A 19,082-nucleotide genomic window follows, 5' to 3' on the forward strand; every position below is an offset into this window, starting at 1 on the left:
CGCAGCTCCGGAAACAGCCCTTCCCCTATCCTCAAGGACCAAATCAGTCCTGATAAACACCCCTCCTGGCCCTACAATGGGAAGGGCAAGTTCAAACGCAGGGCGTCGAGCCCACACGCCTAGAGACGCGGCCAGGCACCCCCGCCCTCCTCGCCGCGCAGTCGCGCACAGTGAGCAACAGTCCAGCACCAACCCGGCTTAACTGCGCCTGCGCACTCCAGGAGTTTCCCCCCACGCCCCTTTCCGAGGACTAGCGCCCGTCGCTTAGCAACGCGCGAGTCACAGTCGCCGCGCTTTGCGCACCCTTTTCCTGGCAGGGCTGCGTCCCTGTTCTTCCCAGGAGGCTCCTCGCTGCCTGGTGCCGTAGAGGCCCATGGAGGAAAAGGAAGATAAGCATCAGTAAGTGCTGGGGTTTGGTGTCTTATTTCCCTTTCCAAAAACTATTTTCCTCCTTCAGGGGGAGGCCGGGATCCAGCATGGACAGTCCAGGCCAAGCTCAGACAGCCCCCTTGCTTCTCTAATTTCCAGTTGGCTGAGCGCTTACAACAATAATTTTTAAAACGCACCGTTTACTGAGCACATACTGTGTGTCAGGGACTTGACTTGCATTACCGGATCTAAAATTCTTGAAGTCATCCACTCCTTCTCACAATTATTAGCAGATTCTGTAGTCTTTACCTTTAAAATTATCCAGAATCTACCACTGCTCATCACTTTCAGTACTGTGCCCACCCAGTCCCAAGTACCAGCTTCTCTTGCCGGGATGCTGCAACAGCCCTCCAGTTGGTGGCTTTGCTTTTCCCTTACCCCTCTGCAGCCTCCTCGACACAGCAGTCAGAGCTATCCGTTTACAGCCCAGGTTAGATCGCCGTTCTCCATCCGACATCGTAGAGTAAAAGCCAAGGCACCTCCAATGGCCTATGGAGTCTACACAACACGCCCCTTACCGTTTCTTGCCTCCCTCTGACAGGACTCTGCTACAGCAAACAGGCCTTTCTGCTATCATCTGCAGTGATAAAGACCAGCATCAGCAGCACCTGGTTGTTAGGAATGCAAATTTTGGGGACTTCCCACCCCCGAGACACACAGAATCAGAAACTCTATGGCTGGGGCTCAATAATCTGGCTTCAACCAAGGCATCCAGGTGATTCTGATGTACCTTAAATTGAGACTATTAATCAAGGTAGTACATACAGCTAGTTAGGAATGATGTGGAGCCAGGGATACCCTCTTCCAAAGCCTGTATTTTTGTCCCTGGAACAATGGTTCTCACACTTGAACGTGCATAAGAATCAGCGAAACAGCTGGTTAAAACACGTTCCTGGGAACCAGCCCCAGAGATTCTGAGTTTGCAGTGCTTTCTAAAAACAAGTAAACAAAAAACTAGGTACATAAAGGAAATGGGCCCCATAAATTTGTATTTCTAACAAGGTCACAATTGATGCCAATGCTGCTACTCCAGTGCCCATACTTTTAGAAGCAGTGCGCTAAGGATGGTTACACTTCTGCTGGGAAGCTTTGGCAGTTACAGTTCACTCTGCTAGAATGCTTTTCCCACAAATATGCACTTAGCTCTCTCTTCCCCTCTTTTTTCATTTGCCACCTTCACAATGCAGCCTCCACCCTACCTGAAAATGCAAACCTACCTCCTACATACATACACTCCCTTTTCCCATTCTCTATTTTATTATTGTCCTTAGCACTTAACAGACTATATAATTTACTTTTTCATCCGCCTTTCCCCATTAGAGTGTAAGCTCTATGAGGGCAGGAATTTTTGTTTTGTCACTGCTTTATCATCAGTGCCTCCAACAGCACCTGGCACGCAACTCAATAAATATCTGTTGAAACAATGAATTATTCAATGTTATTCTCATATCTCTTACAATAGGTATTGTTCCTATCATGCAAATGAGACAAAGGCTCAGATATGGCAGAACTGGGATTCCAGTCCCTGTCTGACTCACTTCAGAGCCCATCAGTGTTTTTATCTGTGCTTTTCTTCTGGCAAGAGATTGCTCGAGTCATATATTTCACACTTATTTATCAACCCGTAGGCATTCATACCACAAGTGCTTAATCAAATGAATTTAACTATATAACAAATAGCCCCAGTCCTTTTCTTCAAGGACTTGATCACTACAAGTGTATATTGTTGGGTGATAACTATGAGAAACAGGTGGAAAAAACTGATGCCAGAAGCCTACAATAATAAATTAATTGACCCCAAAGACTCTACCTTTAAATAAATAATTGTATCTCTGGAAAGGTAATAGAAAAAGGTTTAGAAGTTTTTTACACTTTACCAGTAATCAGTTTTTCCAAATCCTTTGCAGAAAGTAATTTTTGGGAAGCAGGGAACTAGAATCCAAGGATTCTGAATGTTGTTTTTATGTGTACTGGAGGGGTGGTTGAGGGTATTCAAACAAAGCTGGAGTAAACTCCAGCAGATTCACCAGAAATATGTAAATGTTATAATGGCAGTCCATTTACCTTGGATGAACAGGACACTTTTCCTGATGTTGGGCACATGGTGAATTCAACAATGTACACCTTCATGGAACTTATTGACTAGTAAAGGATATTTGTAGTGCTTACTAAAAACAAGTAAACAAAAAACTAGGTACATAAAAAATTGTGGTGTTAATAAAAGAAATGAACAAAGTACTAAAATAGAGAATACATGTGGTAGAGGAAAGAAATCTAGGAAAAGCTGCTGAGGAGATGGTTTTAAGCTGAGACCTAAATATCCTGAGCCAGCTGTGCTGGGAGCTGGGGAAGAGCTGTCCAGGCAGAGCGAACAGCATGTGCAGGTGCCGTGAGGGAAAAGAGATTGATGTGTCCCTGGAACTGACAGAAGGCAGTCTGGTTGGAGGGTCTTGAGTGAAGTCGAAGAGGTTCACTGGGGCAAGTCACACAGGACCTCAGAGCTACAATTAGGAGGCAGTATTTTATTGTAAATGAATGGAAAACTACTTGAGGGTTTTAACTGCAAAATGATGTGGGCGAGGCACAGTGGTTCACGCCTGTAATCCCACCACTTTGGGAGGCCGAGGCTGGCAGATCACCTGAGGTCAGGAGTTAAAGACCACCCTGGCCAACATGACGAAACCCTGTCTCTACTAAAAAAAAATACAAAAATTAGCCGGGCGTGGTGGTGCGCGCCTGTAACCCCAGCTACTCAGGAGGCTGAGGCAGGAGAATCACTTGAACCTGGGAGGCAGAGGTTGCAGTGAGCGGAGATAGCACCACTGCACTCCTGCCTGGGACAGAGTAAGACTCCGTCTCAAAAAGGAAAAAAAGAAAAATGATGTGGTAGAAGAGATGGACCTGGCATTCGTTTGGAGGAAGGCAGGTGTTATACTTTAAGGGCTGTGTATAAGATTAAACGGTGCTACCTGCTTTCTCTGTGAATTTGGAGTTTCATTGACTCACCTGCTGTGGGATCATGGCTTTGATTTTAAAAGCTTCTATGTAAAAAGTATTCAAATTCATATATTTCATTCTTTATTTTTCAAGTATGTGAATTTTAAAAATACTGCCTTTTATAATTTCAATTTCTCCTTATTTGAAAGGAGAAAAATCTGATAAGCTGTTTCTTCCTATACATTTTTAAAATATTTTATTTTAGTAATTTTCGTATTTGTAACAGAGTGCTTACTAGAGGCAAAAAATGAAGAGATTTATTTTGACTGCCACATAGTGTTCTTTTCTTGAAAAGATAAATAATGGTGCTCCTTTGGTAGCTTTAAGTTTGCCAGACAAACTTTTAAAATTAATTGGTTTATCCTTGTCCAGATAGCTGTTTACTAGGTAAACGGGAGAATAAAGCCATTCTCTTGGTAATAAAACTTTTAAAGAAGTTGAGTTAACTATAGCGTGTAACTTATCCACACACGTGAGTACTGCAAACATGATATGGAAGCATAATCCAATCACTACTCTTTCTTTACTCCAAGCAAATAAGAGTTGGTGCACTGCACTGGTATATTATAATGAGTAATCATTATTAACACAAAGCCCTTTATCGCTTATATGATTTAGAATTAGAAAATGGCCTCCTAAATTTTAACAGCACAAACCCTTATAACTATTAATACAGCCTAAATTGTCTTGACTGCTGTTTGTAGTATATTTAAATCTTATTTTACATAATTTTGACTCAATATTTTAATGGTTACTGGGGTAAATGGTTTACTATTTATGTTTTTCAGACAGCATAAAATAGAGGATGCTGCTATAACATATGTAAGTGAAAATGAAGAAATTAAACACGAAGAAAAACCTGGAAAAAGCATACATCATTCAAAATCACATGTTGGAAGAGGACGTATATATTATGCTAAATTCATTAACACAAATGCAAGAACATACAATGAACCATTTCCCTACATAGATCCCAAAAAAGGGCCAGAAATACAGGTTGGACAGATGTTCATTGTATACAAATAGAGATTTAGATTCAGATGCTGTTTTGCAGAATAATTTGGTCACAGACTATAAAGGATGAGACACATCTCAGAGTAGTACTTATCATAATCCAATAGTTAAAAGCAGTAACCTGAAACTATTTTGCCAGCTGACTTTTACATATAAACAATACGGATACAGGGAGGGAATCTAAGTAATTGTTTCCCTAGATTGGGTCAGATTATTGCCACAAAGTAGTGCTTTGGGGTTACTAAAGAAATTTCATGTATTTACGATATATATTCTAATATAAAAATGTCCCATGATACTCAGTAATTCACATACCTTCTGTAAAATAATAATCATTTATTGAAAGCATATGAAGTTCTAGGAATGAGCTAAGTGTTTTATATAAATTATATTCTTTAATCTCTACAACAATTTCTATGAAGTCTTATTGGAAATAGTTTACAAATAACACATATTCCTTTGAGGTTAATTAACATATCTGAGATTAAGTAATAAGCAAATGTCACAGTCATATTTCTGTCCCAGGGCTGTTGGTTTAGCCAAACCACACTTCACTGACTATCCCATGCTAAAAATATTCCATTATCTTTTTTACAAAGTCAGGTTTGTTGCGGTACAATTTATTGTATTAGTTTCCTATTGCTGATGTTACAAATTTTCACAAACTTGAAAGCTGGTTTAAAGCAGCACATATTTATTATCTAGCTTAGAAGTCCAAAATCCGTCTCACTGACTGTTGCCAGGCCTAGTTCTTTCTGTGGGCTCTAAGGGTGGATGGGTTTCCTTGCCTTTCCCAGCTTCTAGAGACTGCCCATGTTCCTTGGTTTATGGCGCCTTTTTCTTTGAAGCCAGCAACACAGCATCTTCAAATCTTTCTCTGACCCACTCTCCTGACTCTCTCTTATAAGGACCCTTGTGATTAGAATGCACCCACCCAGATAATTCAGGATAATCTCCCCATCTCACAATCCTTAATCACATCTGCAAAGTCCCTTTGCTATGCAAGGTAACATTCACAGATTTGGGGCTTAAATCACGAACATCTTTAGGGACAGAGAGAGGGAGCATTATTCTACCTACCCTTACACAGTAAATTAGTTACCCTTATATAGTGTATAATTCTCTGAATTTTGGCAAAGGTGTAGTCATGTTACTCCATCACAATCAAGCTATGAATCATTTCTATCACCCTCAAAAGTTCCCCTATGCCCTTTTGTGGTCATTCCCTTCCTCTACTCCAACAGCTACTGATCTGTTTTCCATAGTTTTGCCCTTTCCAGAAAGTCATGTTAATGGAATTACCCAGTATGTAGCTTATTGAACCAGTCTTTCAGAATAAAGCATCTGGGATTTGTCCATGTTGCTGCAGTATGTCACTAGTTCATTCCACTGTGTTGCTGCTACACACTTGCCATGTGACTTTGGGCAAGTCACGCTAAGCTTCAATTTCCTTATTTATGTAAGGATAGTAATTGTCCCTCTCATAGGGTTTTTATGAGAATTAAAATATTTTTGTCAGTTACTGTTCTAGACACTAGAGATACAGCAGTGAATAAAGTAAATGGGGGAAAAAAATCCTGTCCTTACATAGCTTACATTTTAGTAAGGGAATAGATCAAACAAGTAAGCTGTATTGGAATGTTACATGGTAGTAAGGGCAGCATGCAAGGCAGGGTAAGGAATGCTGCAGGCAGAGCTGCAATTTTAAATTGGTGGTCAGAGAAGGCTTCACTGAGTGACATTTGAGTGAAGACCAGAGGGAGAGTGAGGGAGTGAGCATGTAGGAACCTGGCAGAAGAGCATTCATAATGCACAAAGGAAGCACTCACTAAACATTAGCTCTTAGTAGCAGCAGAATCCTAGTCTACTGCTCTCTGCACAGTGATGGGGACTTATTTGCAGCTGAGAGCAGGATTCTATGAGAGAAGACCTAGTACAGTGCTGAGCCAGGCAAGTGTTCAACAGATGGGATTCAAAATATGTCACAGCAAAGGTAATAATTTCTCATGTAGGTTTTTTCCAGCATATTTGGAAAAGGAAATGTGTACCATCTAAATGGTCTCAGACCACTGTGCCAGTGTCAGCCTCCTCCTACTCCACTTCTTTCCTCATCTCTCTGTGTGTTAGGTATAGTGATTTAACATTTAGATGGAGATTGCTTTTTGTGAGCTCTCTTCGTACTGATGACATCTGTTCTTGTCATGGACAGCACACCATGGCTGTGAATGTCAGATCTTCTTGGGGCAGGAATTCCTGTGGTTAAATGTTCTTTAATTTCATGAGCTAAACCCCTTTAAGGGCCATATTGAGGGTACTTCATTTTGTACACTTGCTTATGCTCTCGTACCAATTATTTCAGAAAGAAATCAATTGTTATTGTTAGACCAGACCTACACTGGGGAAATTAATTTGGTACCAAAATCCAGATTAGTGAAGTTCTTACATTTCTTACAAAGGCTCATGAATGACTCTGAGCTCTAGTTCAGGGTTGAATTTAAAACTGTTCACTGAACTCATCCTTACATTGGCAATACTAAGAAAAAGAAGCTGGTTTGAGAATAGAAATATGAAACATAAAAGTTTAAAAACTTAATCCCAACTAATTTTCTCTTACTCCTACTCTATAGGTATGTTGGAAAAAAAATGAACAAAGGTGTTAAGAGCTGCTATCATCAAGACTAGGTGACAGAATAGTAGTAGAATCATTATTAGCACTGGACCTTTAAGAGATGGTGAAAGTGAGTTTGAGATGAAATAAGAGCTCAGATAAGGGAATCTGTCAGTGAATATGAATGAGGAGAGTTACAGAGAAAGACTGAAGATACATCACTGAGTTACAAGCATGTCTGATTTGGGTGTGGCAGGAAGGGAGTGTGTATATTTTAAAAACATAGCCTGGGCAACATGGTGAGACCCCATTTATACAAAAAAATAAAAATAAAAAAATAGCTGGGTGTAATGGTGTACGCCTGTGGTCCCAGCTACTTGAGAGGCTGAGGCAGGAAGATTGCTTGCACCTGGGAGGTCAAGGCTGCAGTGAGCTATGTTCATGCCATTGCACTCCAGCCTGAGTGACAGAGTGAGACCCTGCTCAAAAGGAAATAAAATTGGCTGGGCACAGTGGCTCACACCTGTAATCCCAACACTTTGGAAGGCCAAGGCAGGAGGGTAACTTGAGCCCAGGAGTTTGAAACCTTCCTGGGCAACATAGTGAGACCGAGCGCTACAAAAATAAATAAATAAATAGCCAGGTGTGGTGGCAAGCCTCCGTAGTCCCAGCTACTTAGGAGGCTGAGGCAGGAGGATGGCTTGAGCTCAGGAGTTCAAAGCTGCAGTGAGCAATGATTGTGCCACTGTGCTCCAGCCTGTGCAACAGAGCAAGACCCCATCTCTAAAAACAAATTTTAAAATAATAAAATAAAAACCAAAAACAATGAACTTAAATGTACTCATTTCTAACTATCCAAGAAATAATAAAGAATGTATATTTCACATATTTGTAAACTGTTCCTTTAAGATGACAGGTTTCTTTTTAAAGGTTAGCCTGGTTAAGAAAAAAACTGGTTGACGGTAATGCTGTCTTTATAATAAGAGTAAAGAAAATAAACTTGCCTAAATATTTTAAATGACACCTGTTGTTTTAAGTGTTTTTGCTAAGATAATATCTTTAGGATGCAAGACGAGATTGGTTGGTTTTATTTGTTTAGAAGATTTTTAAGATTTCGTACATTTCTACCTAGGAACATAAAATTGGGGATGCTAAAAAAAGTAAGTTGTTTTAGCTCAGTCACTTCCAAAGAAAACTGGTTTGATTGTCTTATATTTTTGGCTGGGTGCGGTGGCTCATGCCTGCTATCCCAGCACTTTGGGAGGCTGAGGTGGGCAGATCATGAGGTCAGGAGTTCGAGACCAGCCTGGCCAACATGGTGAGACCCCCCCCCATCTCTACTAAAAATACAAAAAATTAGATGGGCATGGCGGTGCGTGCCTGTAGTCCTAGCTATTTGGGAGGCTGAGGCAGGAGAATTGCTTGAACCTGGCAGGCAGAGGTTGCAGTGAGCCAAGATCGTGCCACTGGACTCCAGCCTGGCAACAGAACAAGACTCCATCTCAAGAAAAAATAAAATAAAATAAAATAAAAATATTTTTAAATATTGGTACTTTAAAGGAGATTATACTAGGTTGGTATTTTCAAAAGTTTAATTTTCAGAGCACTGACCCTTGCCTACATGCTTAACAAAATAAATTTGCAAAGTCAAATATGTTTTGGAAAAGCTGTATTTTTATAAACCTTTCTCAGAGCTTCACAATTCACATTGGTATATAAAGGTTCTGAGAAATCTTGTGATAAACTTATTTAACTTTGCTTTTCTCACTATTTCCCAAAGTCATTTAACTGTGGACTCCTTTGTATAACACCTATTAATATGCTGGAGAACTAGTGTTCCACAGAACACAATTTTGGAATTTTTTATGGGGGGGTGCATTATGAACTGCTTAAAAACATTTTTTTAAAGCACTCATAGCATCTATAGCAAAATAGAGATGAATTTAGGTACAGTGTAACCAATGTGACCTTAGCTGCCCTAGTGTTTGTGATAGTACTTCAATTTTTTAAAGCCACTGAGCTCTACCAACAAAATGCGATTGTTTATGTTTAGGTTTTGTCAAAAGCCCACATTTCCTTGGGAATCCACAAAGTATGATTTTATGTTCCACAGATGACCACCACCAGCCATCTTGGCTACGCGATTGTGGCTGTGGAGCTTGGCTTACGACCTCTTGCATTCACTTAACTAGTTCCTCTAGGATACTTCACTTGCTTTTTACTACTTCTCCTCTGAGGATTCTCCCTTAATTTCTCAAAGAATGGAAAATAGGTAATCTTTACTAAAACATCTCTGAGAGCTTAGGGATACTAGGAGTATAACATAGAGACTGCCTTACACTGGCTTCCAAATGTGACTAAGGGACCCACAGTGCAACAGCCCTTGGCCTTCCCAGAGCTGCAGGTTAGAAGGAGCCCCGTCATCCGGAATCTCCAGGCAACTCCTGACCATGGAACCCAGTGACTATCATCCTGGGGCAGGAAAGAAGACAGTCCTTAGACTGGTAGGGATAACTCCTCTCTGGGTCCAAAGTTTGAGTTAGGCAAAACCCCCTCTACAATCTGCAAGATATGATCTGTTCCCCAGAGCCTAGACAAAGCCATCACGCTAGGTAACTTCCCAGCTTATTTTGTCATAAATAACTGTGTTAACCCCCCACAATCCAATGTAAGTGATGGTACACAGAACAGTAAATTTTTTGTTAGTCTTTCCCTTCAGTATGATACAAAGGTAAAGACGAGGCTCCATCCATGTCTTTCCTTAATCTCATAATCTTTTATGAATAAATGCTTGGACCAAAAGGGCACGCACATGTTGCATGGGCACATAAGCACTTTCACTCTTCCAGGAACAAACCAAACTTTTTAGGCATAAGGAAGACTATCCAGAAACAAGAAAGACAACCTTTTTTTTTGGACTGTAAGATTTCACTCAGCTAAAGTGAAGATGCATCCAATTTATAACACTCATCAGAACACTTTCACAAACTGCAGAGCCTTAAAGTCACCAGTCACATTTTAGGAAAAACTGTTCTCTATTTCCTTTATGTTTGTGAAACAAAGACTATTTTGGCAAAATTCTCAGTTTAAAAGAAATTTGCTCAAAAGATGAAATTATCTCTCTGCTCTAAGGCTAGCTTTGCATTATGCTTTTAAGAAAAAAATATAGCCAGGCGTGGTGGCTCATGCCTATAGTCCCTGCTACTCAGGAGGCTAAGGTGGGAGGATCACCTGAGTCCAGGAGTTTGAGGCTGCAGTGAGTTGTAATCGTACCACTATGCTCCAGCTTGGGTGATGGAGTGAGACCCTGGCTCAAAAAAATAATAATAACAAATAATAATAATTAAAGTCCATCAGCCATTTCCTAGTGGTTCGCTTATCCCAGAGCCATTTTTCCAGTAACTTGAGTATTAGCAAAATAAGTTTTTGATCAACAAAAGTAGATGATATGAAGTGTTTGTGTATGCTTTACAATCTTATCACAGAAGAACTTTCTCAGAATATTTACTGCTATGGTTTGAATGTTTGTCCCCTCCAAACTCATGTTGAAATGTAATTTCCATTGTAACTGTATTAAAAGGTGGGACCCTTAAGGGGTGACTAGGTCATGAAAGCTCCACCCTCATGAATGAAATGAATGCCATTATAAAAGGGCAAGTTTTGTCCCCTGTTGCCCTCTTTTTGCTCTTCTGCCTTCCACCATGTGAGGATGCAGTGTTCAAGGTGCCATCTTAGAATCATAATTACCAAACCTGCCAGTGCCTTGATCTTGGACTTCCCAGCCTACAGAATTGTGAGCCAGTAAATTTCTGATCCTTATAAATTACCCAGTCTAAGGTATTCTGTTGTAGCAGCACAAAACAGACTAAGACGTGCACTTACAGCCTCTATTTTCACTTCTTAAATAATTTCATTTGGTTTGTACTTAGCTGGTTTTGCATTCCACAGCAGGTTTGATACAGCAGTGCAGCACAGAAATTAGAGGTGTGCACAAAGAGGTTGGGGTTTGAATTGTGGCAGTGCAGCAGTCTGCTGGTGATATATCTTGGGGAAGTTACTTCATCTCCTGGCAGTTTTCTCATCTGTAAAGTGGATGTGCCTGCCTCATAGAATTGTGATGAGCTTATATAAGTAAGACAAGACCTATAAATCCTAGACCTTGGGGTGTAATAAGCACTATTATAATTGTGAAGTGGAGTGGAGAAGAGCTGCCAGAAGCAGGCGCTCTGACAACAGTAAGATGTGACTATTTTCAGCCAGATAGTGAGAAGACACCATCTGTTTAGTAATCTGTTCTAGAATTTTCCTAGGATCTACATCAAGTAGTCTTAATTTTTTAAATTCACCTTTTAGCCCATTCTGAAAAGTGAAGCATTAGCCAATCTATTCTCCAAAATCCCCTAGTTCCTAAATTTCTGTAATCTCTGCAGAAATTACCCCAGTTACAATTACCAATTATTCCATTACTCCTGCTTACAATTTGTCATTGGCCTAAAAACTGGCACTCTTATAAAGTGACAAAGTGAAGTCCAACTCTCTCATCAGCTCTTCAGGGCTTAGTTCTTTGGTATGTGTTCATCCCATCTTTTTCAAGTTAACTGTAATTTTCCTTAACAACCTCAAGTTGAATGAATAGTTCTGACTTTCCTGAACCAGATTCTTCTCTCCAAACTGTTAGCCGGAACACAAAAGATAACCTTTTTTGGGGCTGTAGGATTTCACTCAGCTATGAACAATTTTTTCTAGAAAACATTATTTTTGCTGCCTTTGACAATTGTATAAATTATCAATTTGTAAAATTTTATAAATTTATAAATGTCTTCTAAGTTTCTTGACAATCTTCTGACAAGCTGACTCCATTAATTATTTTTTAAATCTAATGTTGTATATGTCTTTTATACATGCCTGTCTTTTTAGAAACTAAGCTCATTTGAGAGCTGACTCCCTATGCAGCCACATAGGTTTTTTTTTTTTTTAAAGAAACATCTCCCTTTTTGCATCAATGTAGCCTTAATTGTATTGTCAGTATTTTACCTATTAGAATTGCATATTTATCCCCCTTGAATCATAGTTTAGAAGTCTTTGGCTATGGAACCATAGTTGATTTTCAAAAGGCAGACTTGCTTCCTTATAGCCCACGGTAGGTGTTTGATTATACCGGAAGTTACTTTCATATCCTAACTGTATTCCAGGAACTCCTAGGTGTCATAGGGTTTCTCAAGCATTTTCTTACTACCACCTAATCAACCAGTTTTAAAATATTTGGTCAGAATTAAGTTGAGTAACAGTTCCCCTCTCTACTCTCTCAACTTCCAAGAAATCAAATTGTCATACATGCTAATGAAGAATCTCAGTTTTCCCTTTCTTGTGTACTTAGGTTTTAGTACCAAAATTCAGTAACATTAGAGAGATTTCCCCTTAGAACAAAGTTTATCAAACTGAGTCATTAGTGAATGACAAATCAATGAGTTGCAGTCAGCAACGTGAAATGAAATAGGAAAGCAATAAAATAGAATAGAAAAATAGTTAAGCACACTGCATATAGTAAGTATTTTGTGAAACTTTTGTTTCAGTTTTATGTATGTATAGCATTGTGTGCTCTTGTATGACATAAAATGTATTTCATGGTTCAGGCTAGGGACTAAAACTTCTGAAAACCACTATTTTTAGATGATAATACATTATTTGTATTGTCATAATGAAAAGATTACAACATAATTTTTTAAATTAAATATTTTATACATACACGTGTACATATATAATAAAATCATAGTATAAAACAAATACAGCTATTTTGCTGATTTTTACCACTTCATTTGTTGATAGAAGGAAGGTAGCTTAAGAATTCAGCAGCTGTATTTTAGCTAAAAATTTGACAACTCATTTTCCAGTGCCTTCAAAGAAATACATTTTTTGTGAAAAGATATTTCCAGATTTCAGAACTCCACATTAGTACTGGGATATCCACTAACTTGTTAAATTGAATTACTGAATATCCATAGACATCAAGCAATACATGAAAATGCCCTACAGTATCCAATATTGTGTTTCCAATTATTTTCTATAAAGGGTGACTGGTGGTCACATGGTAAAGCACTGGAACCTGTCTTCCTACCACCTTACGACTCTAAGAGCACCCAGAGGAGTGACTTCCAAAAACCATCGTGTCCACTGGTTTTGCCAGTCAAACACAGCAAGATGCAAAAGCCTTCTTGTGGAATAGGTAAGGTTTTGCAGTGGTAAAAACCTTTTATGTTATCTCAAATTATTGCTACCAAAACTAAGATGTATTAGATGTCCGGACAGCTCCTGAAAATAATTACTTCTCTATGAAGTTGAAAATACACACACAGCAAATACAGCCCTTGGGAAGTTTGTTATTTCTTCCTAGTGGACAGTTTGTCTCCAAATGCAGTTAATATGACATAATGAAAATTGTATTGATCATTAATAACACCAGCCTCAAAGTCAGAAACTTAGTAGCATCCTGCTCATTGTTGTTGCCACCACATTTTAAGAGTTGTAACTATTGTCACTTCAAGGAAGGTAGCTGATGAAGAGGGCTATTAGATAATCTGTAACAATGACTTGTCCTTTAGAAAGATAATAAAGTTTCCACTTCTGGTTCAGGATAGCAGACTGAGCACACATATCTAAATTCCCTGCCTTCCAAGACCCTATTACTATAAATAGTAGCAAAGCAATAAACTCTTAAGAGTGAAGAGAATAGAAGGAAGAACTTTCTGGAACGTAGCAAAGACTAGAAGCCTATTGATAGATAAAAGAGAATAAAGAAGCAATTTCTAGAAGGAGATGCAGCAAAGAAGAGACAATCTGCCTGGCCAAAGCCCTGACTGAGCTACACGCCGAGCCAGCAGGCATAGTGGAAGGCAAAAATGAAAAGCGGGTAGGAGAGAGTCAGAGAGTTACTTCAAAGCCTGTCCCTTAAATAAAGGCTCCAGTCATGAGCACTCCACCCTATCCCAACATTAAGACTACTAGAGCCCAGTGTCTTAGCCAGATGTCAACTACCACACCAGTTATTTCGGTAAATCAAGCTGATCCCCCGTCCCCTTCTTATAAATGGACAACCAAAGATTAGAATTATGCCAGTTAAAAAAAAGATTTGGAGAATAAAGTCACGGAAGTATCACACAGCATAAAACAACAAAACAAAAGCTTGGAAAATGAGAAGGAAAGCAAAACAGAAGATCTGTTTGGGAAATCCAACTTTTCTGGAGCTCCAGAAAAGAGAAGAGTAAAAATGAAGGTAGATAATTAGCAAAACATAACATTTATTGAGCACATACTATTTGCCAGGCACTTTATGGAACTTTCTAAATATTAACTCATTTAATTCCCACATGAACTCTATGCAATATAATAGTGTAGTAATACTATTAATATTCTTATTTTTCAGATAAGAAAATGTAGGGAGGCAAAATTATTTTTTAACATTTTAGTGTTTTTGGCTGGGCTTGAGAATTAAATTGACACAAAGATCAACAGGAGAAAAGCATACAAATTTATTTAATACAAGTTTTACATAGCAGGGGAGCCTTCATAAGGAAATGAAGACCCTAAGACACAGAAAGAACACATATACTAAATTGGACAAAGAGTAGTACATTGTAAAAATGGGACAAGGCAAAGGAGTTTGGGCTAGGGTAATTGGGTAGAGAAATGACTAGGAAGATAAGGGTGAGTTTAACAAGGTTTACTTGTCTAGATTTCCCCTCACCTCAAATTCCTGTGCTTGGTAAGAATGATGCTTTCCTTCTGGTATAGGGAGGATATCTTTTACGTAGGAATTTCATCTCCTGCTTTTGAGAAAGAGAAGGAAGGTCAAACTGTTTTTCTTGCATCTGCTGTTTTTCAAGTGCCTTTAACTCAATATAGTCAATATGCCAGAGTGGCATTTTAGAGTAGCATGTTCTGAACTCCTTTGAAAGCAAGCATGGAGTTGAAATAACGTGCCCAAGGCTAGAGTGAATAATTGGCATTTGCACCCAGCTAGCCTGACTCCAGTGCATATACTCATAACCAGTACTGTATAGTACTCTACACAACCTCTAAAATAATAACAAAGTTTCCCTACATAAAATGCATTAAAAGGGTCTACTGGGTGCTTCTAAGTGTGAAGGGGAAAAATATGCACACCCTACATATCATTACAAAATTGCAAAACAGTCATCATCAACAGAAGATTCTAAAAGTTTCCATAAAGGGATAGAAAAATAAGTCACCATCTAAGAAATAAGTATCAACATGGAATCAGGCAGCACTGATGCAAGAGTACAATGGAGTTAATATCTTCAAAGTTCTCAGGGGAAATACTTTTTGACCTAGAAAAGGGAATTTATTTGGCACGGATACTAAACCATTTTTTTTCAAGTGGCACTGGGCATTACACCCACTGAGAAGGAAATGAAGTCCTGGCACAACATTTGACCCTTAAATGAACAAAATGTATGTAATTATGTAATACTATGCATGCTGTTTAGTAGTTTTCAACTTTTAGGCTCAATCTATAGACACGAGTTTAAATATGGTTACACAACAGAATGTATCTTAGCAGCTTTAATAAGAAAAGTAAGTGCACAACTGATAGAAGATGAGAAGTAGAAGAGAAGAAGGGTGCTAACATCATTATTTGCAATATAGGTAATCAGTTGATACTATCCAGTGGGGGTGAAACAAGGAATAGATGTTTAAGGTGAAAGGTCAAAGGAACCAGTCTAAAAACCAAATTTCTCTAACCCTGGCTTATTTACTGAGCTTCAAGTTCACATATCCAAACACCTACTTAACATCTCCTCTTGGATAGCTAGTCACCTTTTCAAACCTGATATGGCTGGAATAGAATGTTTCATTTCCTCCATCCAAACTTATCCTCCACTAGTCTTCTCCATCTCAGTGAATGCCACCTCCACTCTCCCACCAGGTGTTCAAGTTTTGATAAGCTAGAAGGCATTATAAAACTCTCTCCTTTCACTCCCTGCCCCCACATTCAATCCATCAGCAAATTGTGACACCTCTATCTCCAAAATAGACCCCAAATCTATTCCTTTCCATCTTCACTGTAACCAGTGCAGTACAGCTGCTATTACCCTGCTTCCTTTCTTCTTTCTCCATATATGTTTTCTGCATCATTGTCAAAGGATCTTTTTAAAAACACATGTGATATTCTCCTCCTTTAGATTCTCCAGTTACTTCTCAACGTTCATAGAATAAATTTCAAATTCCTCACTATGGCCTACACGGCCCTTTTTGATCTGTCAAATTTACCTACATTATCTTCTATTGCTCATAATGTGAGGATTTAGAGACAGAGAATATAACTCAGACCAAGGAGGTAGAGACACTCTCTGAAAGTTAAGCTTGTTTCCAAACCAGATTTATGTCTATGTACTTGTTACTGTATTTCCATATTTTAATTATATATTCTTGTAAATTAAAATCTGAATAAGAAAAGAAAACAGTTGTTTCTATAAAACATTCAAAATTGAATGTACAGACTTGATAAAAGGTCAATTGCTAACTTTAAAAAATGCTACTTAGGTATAGGCAAAATAACTAAGAGGAGTTGGACTGAATTTTTAAAATCTTGAAGGATTTTGCATTCATTTTGCTTGAAATTTGTCTTTACATTTTCATTCTGTGTGAAAGAAATAGAAACTGGAAATGATGCATTAGAAGTGTGGTTTGTACAAGAAACACAAAGTGGAATTCCAGTCAGTGGACACCTCCTCAAAGAAAATGGCTTGGCATGCCAATAAAAATTTGATGAACTGGTTAAAATATGTATCTACATATGGCATATGATTTTTTGCTTTAACTTTCTTTGGTAGCCAACCAGTCCCTTCCACATAACGAGCAGTTATGGTACTTCAGCTACTCAAGTTGAAGGGATGTAGAAGAGTGGTGAAAGATGACACTGGAGCGATGGGCTTTTTCTGGGTTCATAAGGCAGGGCTCAGTCATTTCATAAGGGATCCCCCAAAATCAGGGTCTGTAGATCTACTTAATTTGCCCAGAGAGAAATCCTCCAAACCTCTGCCTAGGATGGAGGACAGAAAATCCAGGAGTCCCATAAGCAGTCCTCTGCAACATCACCTTGTCCCGCTGCCCCATGCTCCCTGCCTCAGAGGTATGTGATGCCTCCCGATTCCCAGGCACTCCTGGAATGCTGTGGCATTAATTGGCTTAATTTTTACCCCATTCCCTTCCCCCATAGCACTTAACTTCCAGTTTTCTGCAGTTTACTTGAGTCTATTGCTACTTATCCATCTGTTTTCCAGCTTCCAAATTTGTTAAAATCTTCACTCTTATTTAGTTCTTTTCTTCCTTAAGGACGTAAGCCCTCTTAAATTTCTGTAGTGTGATTGTACTGGGGCTTGGGGAAAGAATGGGGGAAATGCACATTGAATTTGCCATGTTTAACTGGAAATCACAGCAACTTTGTCACCATCAACACTTCTTTTATAATATTGGTTCAGTATTAAACTTAGTATTATGTGAACCTGAACCCATTAAATTTAATCATCCTGTTTTGCTCAATTTATGAAGTGAGAATAATTCCTACTTTGCAGGATTGTTGTGAGAAACAACACGTAAAGTGCCCAACACAGTGTTTGCTACATAGTAGACAATAAATGGTAACTGTTTCTATTATCAGTTATTGCATTGTACTAGGTTATGTGTTGAGTTGAAATTTAGCTCAAGAACCTGGCATGATTCTCTCTCTGTTCTTTTATTGGTATTTCTTTTTCTTTCTCTGTTCTTTTGTTGGTATTTCTCATGGCCAAGTTCATTATTGTATCCTAGGGTCTAGTACAATGCCCAGATTCAATAAATATTTATTAGTTAAATGATAATTATACATTCTTCAACAAAGTCATAATGTAATTTAAAGTAACATGTACTGCACAATATAGGCCTGCAATTTATTCATATTTCAGGTATTTGGATATTAGATGAAAGTGATTTTTAAAAAACAAAATATTTTAATGTAACATTTAAAAATATGTATATAAACTAGTCTATATGTGCCAGATTTTTTACCATAAGCATATGAACATGCACATAAACATGCACTAATATGTGCATATAAATATGCACTAATACCAATTAAAAGTCATCTCATAGTCATTCTGTTCCATCAGCCCACTTAATTACGCCTGGACTTTGGCATTTCAGCAATGTTATCTTGTGCCGACAATTCAAAGTGCTCTTTATGTCTTCTACCACACACAATTTCCTGGCTGCCATCCACAGTCAGTTAACAAACAGCTATGCTCCATCATATTTGAGTCCCTGTAAGAATAAGTGTTCACATTTGGTTTTATATAATAAAACTTTATAAATTGGAAAGCCTAATCTAATATGTGAAGGGGGTATTTCGTACTTAAATAAAACCTTGCTGATTATCAACAACTTGATATTTCAATGTTCTTTTGAATTGCAAATTCAGATATAGTGGTAAAATTAATTTTCTAAAATAGGTTTTAGTTTGTGTTGCTTCTTTTGCACCAAAATGTAACAACAATTTTTTGCTACAGTTATGCTTTTTTCTTTTTACTGTATTTTGAAAATCTATACTATTATTTTTATATTAATAGTCTTTATATATAAGATCAGAATACTGAGAAGAGTGGGATTTAAGAGAAAAATATTACTGGTGAATGATCTTTAAGCAGACACAAAGAATTAAGAAAAGAACATTTCTCAAAGTAAAACTCCTAAGTTCTCACCAATAGAAGCAGCAAATTGTATGTTTGAATAAATCCTGGCTTTGCTGATAAAATATAAATGGTTAGATAGCAACTTGTTTAGAAAATTCTAATTTTAATTAGATCAAGTTTCCAAGAAACAGAGAGTGGATTTCAAACATTCTTCATGGACTTTGCCTTATTTTTTGCAGTTCTCATCAAATGAGGCTTCTTTCAAGTAATTACTTTGGGTACAATTTGAATTCTTAAGTAGAGTAACCACTAACAATCTGAATATCTTCTTTGATGTTTTCATGTTTAGA

At 38.2% G+C, this 19,082-nt stretch overlaps 1 protein-coding gene across 5 annotated transcripts in view; it reads left to right on the forward strand.

The window, feature by feature from the left end:
* The first annotated feature begins 281 nt into the window (after positions 1–281).
* The window catches only part of CIMIP6 (ciliary microtubule inner protein 6), a 53,310-nt gene continuing 34,509 nt past the window's right edge, over positions 282–19,082 (forward strand). For 2 of the 5 annotated variants that reach the window (XM_047443325.1, XM_024452687.2), the window contains exons 1-4: positions 282–399; positions 971–1,144; positions 4,215–4,422; positions 13,118–13,271. In XM_047443325.1, the coding sequence (XP_047299281.1) occupies positions 374–399; positions 971–1,144; positions 4,215–4,422; positions 13,118–13,271 (562 nt within the window). In that variant the 5' untranslated portion in view covers positions 282–373. The remainder of the gene's footprint in view (positions 400–970; positions 1,145–4,214; positions 4,423–13,117; positions 13,272–19,082) is intronic. The other 3 variants (NM_001100396.2, NM_001369401.1, NM_001369403.1) reach the window with 3 other exon arrangements.

Source organism: Homo sapiens, chromosome 2, assembly GCF_000001405.40.
Source record: "Homo sapiens chromosome 2, GRCh38.p14 Primary Assembly".
NCBI lineage: Eukaryota > Metazoa > Chordata > Mammalia > Primates > Hominidae > Homo > Homo sapiens.